This window comes from Homo sapiens, chromosome 2 (assembly GCF_000001405.40).
Source record: "Homo sapiens chromosome 2, GRCh38.p14 Primary Assembly".
In the NCBI taxonomy this organism is placed as follows: domain Eukaryota; kingdom Metazoa; phylum Chordata; class Mammalia; order Primates; family Hominidae; genus Homo; species Homo sapiens.
Window position 1 is genome coordinate 198759168 of NC_000002.12, and position 16101 is coordinate 198775268.

The 16101-nt window shown below is 35.2% G+C and overlaps 1 long non-coding RNA gene across 2 annotated transcripts in view; it reads right to left on the reverse strand.

Moving 5' to 3' along the window:
* The window catches only part of LOC105373831 (uncharacterized), a 279396-nt gene extending 266233 nt beyond the window's left edge, over positions 1-13163 (reverse strand). For both annotated transcript variants that reach the window (XR_923759.3, XR_923760.2), the window contains exon 1: positions 13092-13163. This is a non-coding gene — a long non-coding RNA (uncharacterized LOC105373831). The remainder of the gene's footprint in view (positions 1-13091) is intronic.
* Positions 13164-16101: the final 2938 nt, after the last annotated feature.

The window sequence follows — 16101 nt, forward strand, 5'->3', positions numbered from 1 at the left end:
CTCCAAGTAACGCTGATCCTGTCCATCTTTGGACCACATTTTGAGTGTCAAGAACCTTCAGTACTTTTCAAAAATGCTAATTATTGGGCATCACCCTCAGAAATTTTGATGAATGAGATCTAAATGGGACCCAGATGGTGAATAAAATAGGAATTTTTAAAAAGCAACACAGGTGGTGCTGGGTAAGGTGGTCTGCAGCCCACATTTTCAGAACAAATGCTTTAGAACATGCTTCTCCAACTTTAATGTGCATATGGATTACTGGAGATTGTTACAAGGCAGGTTCTGGTTTTGTTAGATGTTGCACTTCTGATGGGCTCCCAGGTGATGCCATACTGCAGACCTACCAACCACACCCTAAGTAGCAAGACTTTAGGAAAACACCTTGGGCTCTTCATTGTTTGACTATTTTGAATCTAGTTTACATCACTGTGAAATAAGGGGTGAGAAGGTGACTTGGGTGCAGTTTCTATGGACAACATCCTCAATCCTTGGCTTCACAAATTTTATACAAATAATCTTTAAGGCCTTTGTGTGATGCCAGATTTGCTGATGTTATTTTTTAGGAATTTCTGCTCAGGTTGGGCTCTTCTTATATCACTGAAGTCAGTGACAACTGGTTTGATATTATTTGTAGATGTTTCCAAGAAGCACATGTGGCTTATCTGGCAACTTGAAACAACACTAACCATTTCAGATATTTAGACCAATGAGGACACTCAACTTAAAAGCTGAGGAACCAGTGTTCCTTCTTGGGATCCCACTGAGTAATACTGAATGCCTTGAGTGCTAAATATGTGTTGTGATTATTAATCTCATAAATTGGAGGTATGTAAGTGGATAATGCAAATGTGTGGGTTTCTTTGGTTAATCCATTTTACAGTCTGAATCATGATCTGTGGGTGGAAGATTTAGACTGTGCCTATTCACAGAGTTCATTCTAGTATTTGGAATCAAATTAATGACAGGCAGCTTTCACAGGGCAACTCACAAAGGTGAATTAAGGTAATTCAGGGGTGGTTAACAATGAAGAGCTTGACTTTCCAAAAGGCCCAGAGAACCCGAGAAAGTTCACGTTTAACATGCATGAACAGTGGAGGCAAAATCCTTGACATTGAATGTAGTTTCTTTAAAGTTTGTTAGATTCAGTTAGTTATTTGGGACACTTAATACAGAAATTGTGAAATACCTTGAATGGTGCTGCAAATTTTAATATCTCCTTATACCTGCCTGCTTTTAACTACTAGAGAACACACAAAAGGTTCATGCGTCATTAAAACACACACACACAAAATGAGGGAATTGCATTAAAGAACTCTATAATTAAGCCAATAATTCAAGCTCCTTGGAGTATTTGAAGTTTTCTTTTCTACAATAATTCATAAAGTAGTCAGACCTACCTCTTCATCCGAGTATTAATTTATTGAAATAATAATAAACCAATAGAATATACTGATTCCCATATTTTCTTTTGAGGACACGCTCTCAAAAAATTCAAAGTGTCTTTTACTATTCAGTCACAAAAGACAAGATTCCCTCTAATTTCTACCATGAACATTTTGCATATTTCTGTACATAGAAACAAAAGATTGAGAGCTCTGGGAGTTATCTATCCCCCTTTCCCCATGCACCCATGTTCTCAACATGTGGTTCCCCAGACCAGCAGCACCAGCAAATTCTGGGATTTTTGTTAGAGATGCAAATTCTTGGGTTTCACTCCTGGCTTAATGAATCCAACACAGATATCTTATTTTAATAGCCCTCCAGGTGTTTCTGGTGCGTGCTCAAATTTGAGAACCACTAATTGATAACATTCCTTTCCAATTCAATTGAATTCAACAGGTATTTCTGGCACATCTCAAGAGGAGAAAGCAGAATCTTGGCCCAGAATAGATTTTGGAGAAATTTGATCGTGAGTATGTAACTTTAAGATGGTGCTAGGATTGCTTTAGCATCCATACAAAAACAAATATTTTAATTGAATTTATAACTAGAAGTCTTACTTTTTATTAAATCCAAGTAACAGGAAATAATTTTACCCCTAAAAATGGGGTATGAGGCACGATCTTTTTGCCCTCATAATGAGGGTTCTTTGACTGTAGAGGTAGGATCAGGAATAAGATCTAGAAAGCTGGCAAGACAAATGAACAACTTAAGGGTTCAAAGGTAAAATGAGCAAAGAATGCTATAAAAACATTTTAGAATGACCCATCTTGACAAGGTGACAAAGAAAGGGGAATTTGGGGAGGAGTAGGGTCATCTGCTGCTATGTCCTTCACTTTAGGGATTTCTCCTCTTCATCATTTTAAAGCATACCATGAGACTTGAGACATGCAGTGTTCTCTTCTTAAGTGACAGAAAAAATAATGAATGAAGGTGAGAGTTGTTTCATAGCATTAATGATCTCAGGAACTGCCTGGCATTGATTATTTACAGCATTTCACACATTTATATTTGGCACAATAGTATGTTAGTAGATTGCATGCTAGGAGCAGGAAAGGAGCTTTTCAATTGAATTTATTTCATGCAAGCTAAAAAGTTCACACTGATTTATAAATGTACAATGGAATAAGATTCAATGAGCCTTGATGAGACAAAGCTGAAATAATTCAGAGTCAGAAGCCTGAAATATTATAGGCAGTTTGTTCATCTCTGAAATCTCATACTGTTATTTAAATTCCTCCAAGTTCATTAATCCCATTTAATAGCAGCCGATGCAAATCCACTTGGACTTTTGGGAGAAAAAATATAATGAGCCATAATGCCTTACTACCACAGGAAATAATACAATTATTTTTGCTTTGCAAGAGGTCACAATTGAAGAGTTTGAGATTTTGAGCTGCCATAACTACAAATTTAGCAAAAAGTAGGCATTTAATGATAGAGTTCACATTGGCGGTTTAGGTTTTATTTTGAATGTTTGTTTTGTCTTAAAAACACTAATGCTGAAATGTTGTCTCAAATCTTTATTTTCAAATCACTTATTATATTACCATAAATTACATGGTGCAGTAAAGGCCAGATTGAAAAGAAAGCATACTTTACTGTCTCATTTTTCTATAAATAACATGACACTTTATGAAATAAGAATTATCATAAAAGTTTCTCTTTTTTTCTTTTATAACTCCAGTTGTAAGCACTGAGCTAATGGCCTTCCTCCAAGTAGCTCAGTGGACTAGTCCAAATATAGGAGTATAATGGGTAGAGGTTAACTGTAGGAAGTCTGAGAAAAACGGTAATCTATAATTTCACCACAATTATAACGTTTCCCTTAAATAATAGTTAAGTCTATGGGGTGAGTGCTAACAAATACCTTTTAAAGATGCTCTTATTACTTTCATTGTTTTGATGCTTTGGCATTCTCCACATGTGCCATTAGATGCAGCAAAAGACCCGGGCCGTGACCTACAGTGGTTTAGAGGTTGTGGGTGACAACCAAGCAGAGGGCCTCAGGCCATCATCTGGGGTGAAGCACACTGTTATCTCAAAGACCGGCTGTGCCACATTTACAGGAAGCAAAGCTAGCAAAGTTAAGAGACTCTTTGTCAAGATTAACTAGGCCTCCATCAAAGACTAACAGTAGAAAAATGAATGCTTGCCTCAACTGGGATGACTCAGAAAAAAACTTTCTTTTTTCCCAACAAAGAGGCAAGATAATGAAAGAAGCTCCAACTTCATGGGTATAAGTGGAAATCCTGTTATGTTTGCTTTACACCCTCCCTGCCTTTGTGAAAGGGAAATGTGTAAGTAAAGGTATCTGTTAGGTAAATAACCCAATGGGTCATACACGCAGCTGTGTGGAAATATCATAGATGGAATATACTCCAGGTCCCAAAAATCAAAGCAAGACATGCGAATTGCACATTTAGGACAAATGGTGAGCGATGAGTGGGATGAACATCCCTGTAATTAGGCCAGTAATTTGAAAGTCTGAGATGCATTGTTTGCAGGCTTCAAGATCTGTGTTTATCTAATATCTTGGGGACAAAGAAGGGTCTGGCTGGAGAAAAACCTTTCCTGGGATCAGTTGGCAAAGGGAACAGTGAAACACAGACAACCGTCCTGTGTGGATTTATTGGTATATTTCAGGAGAGTCCTTCTTCTGTTCCCACTGTCACACACTGTGCTATTATGGATTGTGATTAGGGATGGGCTCATGCATTATGCCAAGTTTAAAACCCACACAAAATTGCAGGGTTAGAGTCTGGAACAAAACTCCAGCTTCTTGGTGTGGAGTTTTTCTACTTATGGCAAAATGTGGCTTCCGGGAGGGTGAGTTAAGATGCCTCAAAGGGAAAAAATTCTTCCAAGGGAACATTTTGATAATTCAAGTGTAAATAAATATAAATCCAAAACACATTTTTAATTAAAGGGAAATTGCTTAGCAAAACATGTTTATATCCATCTCCCTTCTGCACACACTCACTCACAGTCCCCTCCAAATAAAGTTCAAAAGGGGTAGCTTTGGAAAGAGAGGGTTTATAAACCCACACTGGATAGCCTCTTTCAAATCACATAAGATTTATTAAGGCAATGCAAAAAAGTGTTGTTGGAAATCACAATAAATCATGTTAAATAAAATAGAAGTAACTGGTTATGAAACATATGTTGTCATTTCCCCACATTGAACATACTGAAATTTTAGCACTTTTATCTTAACAACATACTAAATGATCTTTCCACAAGCAAGTTTTCCATTTCTCAAGAAGTCCCTGTACTTTGACAGCCACAATTCCTCTGCATTTTCACCTGCTCTATTACCATTCCATCACACCCGAGGCACTTGAATTACTGTATGTGAAATATGAACATTTAGTTCTAGCTTTGTTTATTTTAAGCTTTTTTTTCTCTTCTTGTGGCTTTTGTGGTATCTTATGTTTCATAAAATGCTTTCAGGCCTATCTTCTCCATATATAGATATATAAAAATATGTATAATAAGCAACCATTCAGAGGGAAAGAAGACAGGAACAATGGGAAGGGGAGTATGTGAAAAGGAGTATTCAGTTATTCTCAAACATTTGTAGTATCTATCTATGGTCTAGTATTTTTTTGTTTAAACCTGGCTTCAAAGGAAACCTAAAGACACTGATCTGTAATCTCTTAGAGAGCTCTCACCAGCTACCTACAAGGACAAGCAGAATTTAGTATTTGTTTCACTATTTATACAAAAAGGGCAGAGGACATTTCATCTGTAGAAATGAAGTAATTAAGATAATACATAAAAGTTAGCCTTGAATTTTTATTCTCATGTGTGTTTTTACAATGTCAATGTCTTTCTCCTATCCCCATATAGATATCTGTCTCCTCCACTACACTGAACTCAAGAAAAAAAGGTGTGTCTTAGTCATTTTGATTTTCTCATTATCTAGCATTAGACCTGAAACTTACAGAAGGTGCCCAATTAGTGTGTTTCAAAAAATATTTTTTGCACATATATGTGTATGGGCATGCATATCAGGACCCATAGTGACAGCAAAAGAAATCTGTCATCTTTGAAATCTTCTGTAGTATGTAGGCTGTTGTGAGCAAAAATGCCAGAGTTATCTTTAAGTCTCATTAGTCAATCAGGTGTGTATTTACCCAGAATGTAACCTAAACTTGCACCAAATATTTGAAGATCTAAATTTAAGAGGTTTATGATCACCTTTGGCATGTAATTTGTGGTTTTTTTATTAATATTCATAATAATATCATCTGGTTAAGGTAGGCTTAAGATCTGATTTTTAGTTTTAATTATTAATGAGATTTTCCAGTAATAATGAGTTTTTAATATGCATTATAAAACTATTTTAAATGAGGCCAACACTTTTTTTTTTTCAATTTGAAAGCATGTGTAATCCAAAGGCAAAATTAGTAAATATGTCTGATTCACCTATCTGGATTTTGAATATTGTTTTCATTTATATTTGCATCCCAAGAAACCTGGTAAAAGTACATTTTTGATGTCTCAAAACTGTATTACCTTGCATTGAAAGAAACATAATAAATCAAAGAGTCATACCAAAAATTAGAGCTAAGTCTTTATTCTAAATTTTAAATTTCAATCTGCCTCTTACTTGCGGTGGAGAGGGCCTTTTCTACTGTTTTAAGGAAATATTTGGTATTTAACATCAGTTTGCAGAGAGGACCTTAAGCTTATACTTTTCAGAAAAAAAGAAAGCTATTTAGTTATCTTTGCCATTTAATGCTTACCATCATCACATTAATGAGAGATAGTTTAGCAATGGCAATGAAGACTTATGATTCCCTTTATTTAACTGAATTTCTTCTTTTCAGGTTAATGATTAAACACATTGAGTAGCACAATTGGGGGAAAATGAGATTTCCCAGGCAATGAATGGCCTTCTGATAGGATACAAATTTATTCTGAACAAATAAGCTACTGTATTTTCAATTGGACAATTAAAATATCACTTTACTTCAAAGGAAAGGGGTCAATAATTGAATGTCTTGACTGACTTCATATTTATGACTATTCTCATTATGGAATACAATTGGACATAGTTATAGTTTTATGTTCCTATGAACTGAACACATTCATTCTGCACGTGGACTTCACTACATGAAGGGAGTATTGTAGATCAGATGAATTGAAAGGCATAATAGAATCAGGTCAATGGCAATAAACCGTTCTTGCTAAATATTTAGTTGCGCTCTCAACATAACAAAGGTGTTCTTGGAGTATCTTTTGTTAGAACCACCTCCTTTGCCCCTATAGTTTAGATATTCACATATTTTCTGTAAAAGTATCTTATTTTTCTTTAAAGAACCTGAAGAGTTGGGAATATATACTCCTAATATCAATTCTAAGGGTGCAAAAAGCAATCCAAGTTTGTGCAAAAAATAAATTTTAGAATGTTGTTTGAAATTAAGAACTTGATAGTGCAATAAAATTGCAATCAAATTTGCTGCATGAGTAATTGTAGATGTTTGGGAGGGAGCTGAGGACAATGAACAAAACCTTGTAATCCTGCTGTGAAGGGTCCCTCCCTTAGTCATGTGCAGCAGTCGTCAAGCCAAGAACAGTGAGGGCACACTACAGATGCTAGTGTAGACACAGGGGGTTAGCTTTTCCATTTAACACAAACTTATATCTAAAACTAGACTTTGATTAGCCTCATTGTTATCACTATTTCATATTTATCAATTACCAGTAATGCACTTTATGATGAATGAGACATCAACAGGTCTTGATGAATGAATGCTACATATTTTCACGTAAAGGGCAAACTCAGACTCCTAACATTTGGTTAAGAACCATGTTGATGTTAGTTTTCAAGTATAATGCCTGAGGTCCTTGTTTAGAGATCTCCTTAAATCTGGGATTAAATAAGCTAAATTACCCACCTGCCAAATATTATGGTATGTATTGCAGGTACCATAGCTTTCTAAGGCTTGTTCCCAATTTACGTTTTTAAGTCCTAGAGCTCAGGAAGTCTTACTTTGGGGAGCAGGCTGGTATTAATACAAAGGAATTAAAAATCAGAAACAATGAACCTTAGTTTGATATATAAAAGACAGGTTTAGAAGAGCGTCACAGGAACATTTCATTTTTTCAAGTAGTATTTATTGAGATTATACTAAAAGTGATAACAAGACATTATTCGTGGCCTTGAAAATTCACAAATGAATGGGAGGACTTGGGAAATACAAATGTGTAAACAGAGAACTCTACTACAGTTTCACAGAAAAAGGGAATCGGGAATCATATACCCGGGTACCCCCAACAACTGGAGAGAAGTGAGAAAGAATAAAGAGAGGAAATTTTTCCCCAAGGAGGAATGTAGTTGGGTTGAGTCTTAAAAGACTGCTGGTAATTAGCTCATCCAAGGGCTGGAGATAGAGTGTTCAGAGAGGAGAATATGATATAAGCCAAGGTATAGAAGCAAAAGAGACCTCAGGATATCAGGTAACTTGCCAATGCTGCAGTAGGGTGGGACAAGCAGGGTAGTGGTCCCAGTTGCGACTGGAGCAATGAGGGCAATTGCAGAGGACTTTGTAGAATGCTTTGGGTTTTACACTGACAGTATTGGGGACTTTTTGAATGCGTTTAACTAGGTGAGTGCCATGATCAATTTTACATTTTTAAAATATTTTACCTGCACCCTGTAGAGAATTTTTGGAGAAGACAAGACTGGAATGATTGAAAAGGAATGATTGGTGCTTTAACTTACATTGAGCCATCACAGTCATTTATTGTCTCTTCAGGTCTAATTCTAAAACACAGTAGCACATCTGGGGACTGTGAGAAAATATGGACTACTGTCATGCCTTATCGGAATGCTTCCTCACTCAGCAATGGACTTATCTTAACCACGACTGTTCCAGCACAAAAGCAGATAATACTTCCTTTTTCAGTGTATGGTCCCATCATATGCTATTTGGCAAGTTACTTTGCTTCTCATTTCATCATAAAAATCATTGTCACAGCTTCACTACTGGGATTTATTATATGTTCTCTTGCTGTCACCATATATCATCAGTAAACATGGTCGTTCAACAATCTCATTATGACCAACAGCTATTAGTAATATTTATTTTACGCCTATAACTTGTCAAGCACTATGATAAGCATACACGTGCATGATGGTATTCAATTCTCCATAATGCTATGAAATAAATATTATCACCATACTGTCATTTTGCATATGAAGGAACTGAGCCTTAAAAAGCTATGTGATTTGCTTCCAGGCAACACCAGGAAGTGGCAGAGCCAGGATCGGAACCCGGAGCTGTTTTACACCACAGCCCCTGTCCTAGATATATCCTCTATAGAGGATATAGCCCTCTATATCCTGCCTGTTTGAACCTGTTTTCACTAACATTTTTTAACTTTAACTCGTTTCTGAAATATTTCTCCTCTGTAGATGAGACACTGTCTTTCAAATGAAAATATTTTAGCATCTTTAATAACATGTTTTAAATAAACTCTTGGGTATAGTTTTGTGTGTGTGTGTGTGTGTGTGTGTGTGCGCGCGCGCGTGTGTGTGTGTGTGTCCACTGGCCTTTTCAAAGTCTCTCTTTTGTTTTGCAACTTTGGCTTTATTTATAATTTAAATCTAGACATTTCTTCTTGTGAAGTCCATGCACGCCACTCTTGGGACATCCCTATGTTGCAGCAGAGGATAAAAATGGAAAATTCAGGGTCCTTAACTGGACTCTGCCTTTATAATTGCTTCTGTGGTGCTCTCACCACATTCCCAGATGTGTGAGAAAGACAGAGGGAGTAGTGAAGGAAGCGAAATGTTAAAATAAGGCTAAGCAAACAGTTTGCCCAACAGATGTTAACCCTATTCATAATTTAAAAGTTCCTATTTTTGTTCACCACTTAGACAATGAACATTTTAATTTCTCCTTCAAACACTGCTTGTGAACTAGGTTCAGAAAGCTAAACTCATTAATATTTCCATCAAACTTTGTCCCTTGTCATAGGTCAAAGAAACAAAAGGAGCATATTTCCTTTATATTTTAACCCTAGCATTATTATGAAGCCTGGTTAGGACTTAGATAATTTGTTTAAATATGTCTTCTTAGTTAATATGGTAACCAGGACTAGATTTAATCAAGATTGAATTAACCTATTGTTACAGCACAAATCCCATTGGAAAGCAATGCCCCAGAGTTATATTTACATAATTTTAAGTAGAATAATTGACACTAACTATGACTAGCTTCCCCCCTACCTCCAAGTCTCTCTTCATAGTAACCTTAGTCCCCAAAACAGAATTTAAGAGGCACTAAGAAACCTGGTGAATTTAGTAGAATGAACTAGTATTATCTCCCTACTAAGATATGTTAGCAGAACATTTATAGCTGTTTACAATGAAGAGAGAAAAAGAATATTTGCATAAACTTTAAACTATATTTTGACAAATTATTTACCTGGCAGAATTGAGTTTAAACATGCACATTTCCTAATCTCCAGTCCTATACTCAAACCTCAAGAAAATCACACTTCCATTCTTCTTCACAGGGTGGGTCCCTCAATTGCCCCCACACCATAAGTCCCACAAACAAGACCAGCTCATGGGGGCATGAAGACAAAGCTGACACAAGTGATGGTAAGAACAAACGGTGGTGGTGAAAGTCAAACGTATGTTGGAGGAGCTAAAATAATTGCAAGCCTGACGCTTGTGCTATAAAAGGGCAGTAAATAGAGAACAAAGGCATATGGAAAAGAACAAAGAAAATAAAACCCCTGAGAAAAACCAAAAGAACAATCCAATAGAAGATGAAAGCTCAGGATAAAGAGAGAGAACAGTCATTCAAAGAGAGACATTTCTGATCTTGTGTTTGTACTTGTAGACTTCTAGATTTTTTTCTTTCCTTTTTTTGTGGCATTCATTTCTTAGAAGTAAAAAGTATACAGAAACACTCACTGGCTTTCTATTTATTGAAGGACTGACACAGGAGAACTGAGCTGCTAGAGAGGGCAGTGAGTATTCTATTTATAAGCAGGTGGATAGGAACAGAGGCATGATTCTGTTGAGGATAAAGGTGATGATGTTTATGATGATTTCAAGACATTATATGGAATCATAGAATCAGAGACCTGAACATGACCTCAAGGACTAAACCTTCAAAGTTCTATATTTTACAGATGAAAGAAAAATAACAACAATCAGATATTTGAACTGAATATATTTACATATTGCTGTTCTAGATTCTCTGTCATTCTTTCAATTATGTGATAATCCTAGGTATGTCAGAGACACTAAGAGTGTTTAAATACTTAAATAGTTGGGGCAACATATTTGTTTGGCAAAATAATGTTTAAAAATTCAACAACTTTAAAATGTTTCTTTCAACCATATCAAATTTATATTTTCTATTTTTTGCCCTGGAAAATGTCTCGTCTTTCCCAATGAAAATAGCTTTACTTTGGAATAATTTGTATCTTATCTATTTTTACATCTTGGTTTCCAACAAGTCTGTGAATACGAATGCAATTATTTTTTCCTCTCCCATTTTGAACTTTTGGTGGGAAACTATAATTGTAAAGATATATATGAGGAAGTTTGGGGGATTTCTGGGAAGCTACAACATAAGTAACCTTTGTAACCAAAGCACTACAAATAGGAGTTTTGCTAACATTGTTTTGCAGCCACAAAATTTTACAGGCATAAATATTTTAACATTGACTTCTATCTGTAATGTTTATGGACTTAACTACCCATGAGAATAAAATCAAGTTAATAATCAATTTTGTTATACATGCTCTGTATCAGTTATTATATATTATCATTATATACCATAATATTAGTTATCACATATTGTAAACATATATTGAAACTAATTAGAATGAAGAAATACTGTAGATTTTTTTCATGTCTTTTATTTTTCTCATAATTTTCAAGCTTTAATACTATGTCTCCTTATGATTACAGTGAACCTCATATTAAAAGATAGATTTTGGTAACCCAGTCATTTATTTAATGCCCCTCCTCAATATAGATGTTTTTAACTTTATGGAATTTTTCCAGGGATACCAAGAGAGAGAAAGGTAATATCTATGGAACCAAATAGATAGAAGACTTTCCATACTGAACCCACTTGTCTCCTTATTGGTGTCCTGGGATAAGGAAAAGAAAATAAGTTATAATTTGACAACTCCTCTGAATGAAGATCTCAGAGCAAACTTTCATCTCCTCCTCAAAAAATGACATACCCCAGAAACCAAAAACAAACAAATGGGATATTCAGTAAAAGGAGTGAATGTGCTGTTTGCCTATTGATTCCCTGAGCTGGGTTGTCCCTGAGCAGAAGAGGGAAAAAACCAGCACGCACATATTCCACAAAAAGACCACATGATTAGTGATTTTGTTACTAATTACAATTAAGCTGAAATAGTAAAATTTTCTTTTGACTGGATAATGATGCGTCTGAAGGACATAGGCTGTCCTGAATAATCATCCTTCAATATTATTTTCAACTTAGCAGCACAGACTTTTTTAGACAATCAGGCCTATGTTCACAATGAAATTGAAGTAATTATAAAAGTTGTAAAAAAATCACCTCGAAAAATTCTACTTTCCTCCTCTGGGTTTATGAGAGAAATGTGAGATGGGAGCCGAGACAGGAGGGAGAGAGCAAGCAAAGAAAAAAGTGTTTTAGGTCATCAAATATTGCATGACTGCAAGACCTGACAAAAAGCAGAGATTTAGGTTCACATTTAGAATTTCTTTGGAATAAATAATTCTAATTCTATACAAATGAGATTTGTTTAGCAAAATGTCTGAAAATCTGAAGAATACATTTTCTGCATATCTGGGGTCTAAGAGAGAGTCACAGGTAAACATGCAAAGAAAAAATACAATGACCATCATTATACACATATATATACATATACACACATATATATTGATTATATATATGTGTGTGTATAAAATTGATTACTCACTTGATTTCATTTTCAGGGCTAAAGTCCATAAACATTGCACACACATACACACACACACATATATGTGTATGTATACTTTATATATATATGTGCATATATTATATACATATATATAACTTTAACTTTTATATAGTACTGATTTTGAGAATTATTCAGGTGGTACATGAAAAGGTATTGTTGATTCAGTAGATGGCAGTCTTCCCACTAAGCCATTAAAAACCATTGTGAAAATCACATTTTAAAAGAAGGAAAAAAGCTATATTTTGAAGAACGATACAGCTTCTCTGACGCTAGTTATTAAGATAACATATAATTTGAAAATTTAGAGTCTATGATGACATTACACAATTTAAATGAACTATTCCTAATATCAAATCAGTTACACGAGTTGGAGCTATTACTCTAATTATTAGAAAAGAATTTACAAGAAAGATGGAACTTTCTCCTACTCACATCTCTGGTTACTCACATGCTAGGGAAGAAAAGAAACTGATTGATTTAGGTCTCTAGACAATGAACCCAAAATATCATCAGCCCTCTAACCTTATATCCTCCCACCAAACAGACATACAAACAAAAACAAAAATCTGTCCTTTTACATTGTAATGTCCTACCAGAGTTTTAGAGGTAGGTACAGTGGAAAACTTTGGTCGACTCTCTGGAGAGTGATTATTTTTCCTACCACTTACCTTACAATCCTGAGCAAATTACTTTAACTCGAGATTCAAGTCCTCCCTCTGTTAAAGCAGGGATAATAAAACCACCATCCCAGGATTGCCATGAGGATAAAAAATAAACTTGTACTAGACATTTAATAGGAGTTTGTTTCCCTTCCTTTCCTATATGTTCTCCCTCTTCCTAAAAATGATCTTGGGAAGATACATATGTATATATTCAAATATGTAGACTTTTAGTTAAAGTGAATTAAAATTAATTTTGTTCTTATAATTTCAAGCTCTCTCTTGTGAAAATTGGCACTACTCTTTAAGGGATGTGGGCTCAAGAATCCAAAATCAAGTATTTTGTCACTATTTTAAATTATGTTTTTTCTTTAACGTATGTTTGCAGCGTACAAATCATTAATTATGTTGTATACTATGTAGGAGCATGTGCACAGAGTTAATCCTGTATAAAAATGACGTTTTACTTCTATTAAGAATAAGTTATTTAATGTTTAGTATTATAAAAGGAGAACTAAGATTAGATCTATTCAGTGTGGATACCAAACAATACCTTGGAAGTTATTGTTTCTTTTTATAAAAAAGAAAAATTCTACATATACCTGTTATTTTCTTTTACTCTTTTTTCCATGCAAGTAAAATACAAGGACTTATTGTTTGTACAGTAACAAATGAGAATTATAAAGCAACAGAATCCCATTGTTCCTAGGTCTACTAATATTTAAGCTTAATATTAAATATACTTCTGATTGCGTAAGCAGAGTAAGAATTTGTTTATATTTAATCGTCCATTTCTTCTTAATAAATTAAAAATAATTGTATAGCTTTTTGCCCAATGAAGTCACAGAATACTCAGATTACCTTGGTGTGCCTGGCCTCAGCTGTATCTAACGCAGCTGAGGTACAATTATCATTCATTCCATCGGTCTCTTCAATGCCTACCTTGATGCCTTAATGCTGAAGAGCACGTAAACCTTACTACAATAACAACCTTAGAAAGCTGATTTACACTTCTGAAGTGCAATTTCTCTACTATCTAAATAATTTGGATAGTTAATGAAAAGACAGTTCAAGCTCTGTTACTCTGAGGGTAAAGCACTTAAGATGGTCAATCTCAATGTGAAGGGCTGGGGGAAAATCGGTTTTTTTTTCCTGTTTTTTTGTTTTGTTTGGTTTTGTTTTGTTTTTTTCATGCACTTCTGCTGTAGCAGAGTGGTCAGGGTTACCTAGCACAGGTCTGCGACTCAGAGACACAAGCAGTTTCCTCTGCTATTGGGGACTGTCACCAATTCTGTATTGTTGATCAGAGAGCTAACTGCTTTACAGAATGTTGGCATGATTTTTTGTTGTTGTTTTGGGGTTTTGTTTTATTTTGTTTTGTCAAGGTAAAGTAGGTAAGAGTCATTGCTGCCAATACATTTTTGAAATTTCTTTCCTTAAAAGCTTTTCATGTCACTTCTCTAACTCCTTCAGCATCTCTGCTTTCAAAGTAAAATAGAGCATATTTTTAAAGAGACAAAAAGGTGGGACTAGGGGAAGCTGAAATACACATCTGAGAGAACAATGTTCATCCCACTTTCCAAAAGCCAACAAAGGAGAAGCGGGGAACTGTGGAAACAAAGGAATAGTTATTAAATGAGGTCAATGAAGCCTGCTGGAGGCAGCAGCTTCCCCTATTGCTGGCATTCTAAAAAATTCACCATAGCAAATGTAGCTGTCTCCCTTCCCCATCCCATTTCTTATCAAAATAGATATACTTCAAATGTGTAGTGTTACTCAACAATATTCAAGTCATGGGTCACTGAGAATGGTGAGTTTCTTGAATGTGAAGATGGCTTGTCCCTTTTTTCTCTGTATTCTCCACCCTGAGTACAATGCCTTACCCATCACGGGCTTTCCAAAAATGGCTGCTGAATGAATGAATGTGTGAATAAATGAAAGATGTTCCTGATCATAAATTCATGGGGATTTAAGTGAACTCGGAATAGAGATTGCTGATCTACTGAATCAAAATCCTGGTATGTGTCTGTAATGTGAGTTGCTTAACAATCTCACAAACACTTCACTGTCCCCAGATGTGACATGCAGTAATTTTTATCCACTTCTAAAAATCATTGATTTGGATTGACTAACCTTTATGAACCTTCTCTCCACTTAAAGCCTTGGTGACGCCCATTAAAGTGAATTTATCACAGCTCTTAAAACTATTCAAACTCTGGAGATGCCCTTCCAGCATTTAGGTCTACTGGCATATAGTCCCCAGATTTTCCAGTGCCTTTGCCAAAGGTGGGAAAGTATTCCATTATATGCTATTCTTGATCGCCAGATAATAAGTAGAGTTTGGCTGATAGTATATGGATACACAGCATTTTTAAGCCCAAAGCTAGCTTTGCTCACCTGATTGCTAATTAGGGTAAAGGCCTTGTTTCATAAACCAAATTTCCCATTGTGACTATTATGAGCTATAATAATGATTGATAACAGGATGTGACGTAAACCTACACTCTTAAACACAGGAACAAAGAAACACACCTAAGTAATCACAGGGAGATAATTAGTGCAACGAAGGCTCCCTTGGAAGCTTCTGACCCAATAAGAATGAGTTTGAGATGACTTTTCTGTCTAACCCAGTGGTTTATGCACTTTCATTCTCCCTTCCTCAGGCTTTCAATCAGACTACTTTAAAAAAAAAATGCTTAAATTTTTAATCTGTTTATTCCATTTATCTGCTTTTGAGACACTTTTATAAAATATGTATACATTTGTTATTCTCAGACACAAACTATTTCTTTTGTTTTTTTTTCTTCACCCATTGCTGTCAGTGTACAACAAACTATTATACCCAATAAATTTTTACCTTTTTTCCCGCAGCTTTAGAAATAATGCAATGGACCAAGAGAGAAAGTGAAAGTTTAGAATGTGTCAGAAAACGATGGCTCACTCTTTCTCATACTTCTCATTAAAGATGAGGTTGGAATAGTACACTTAACTCTCTTTTAGATTCTAAAAATTGTTTTAA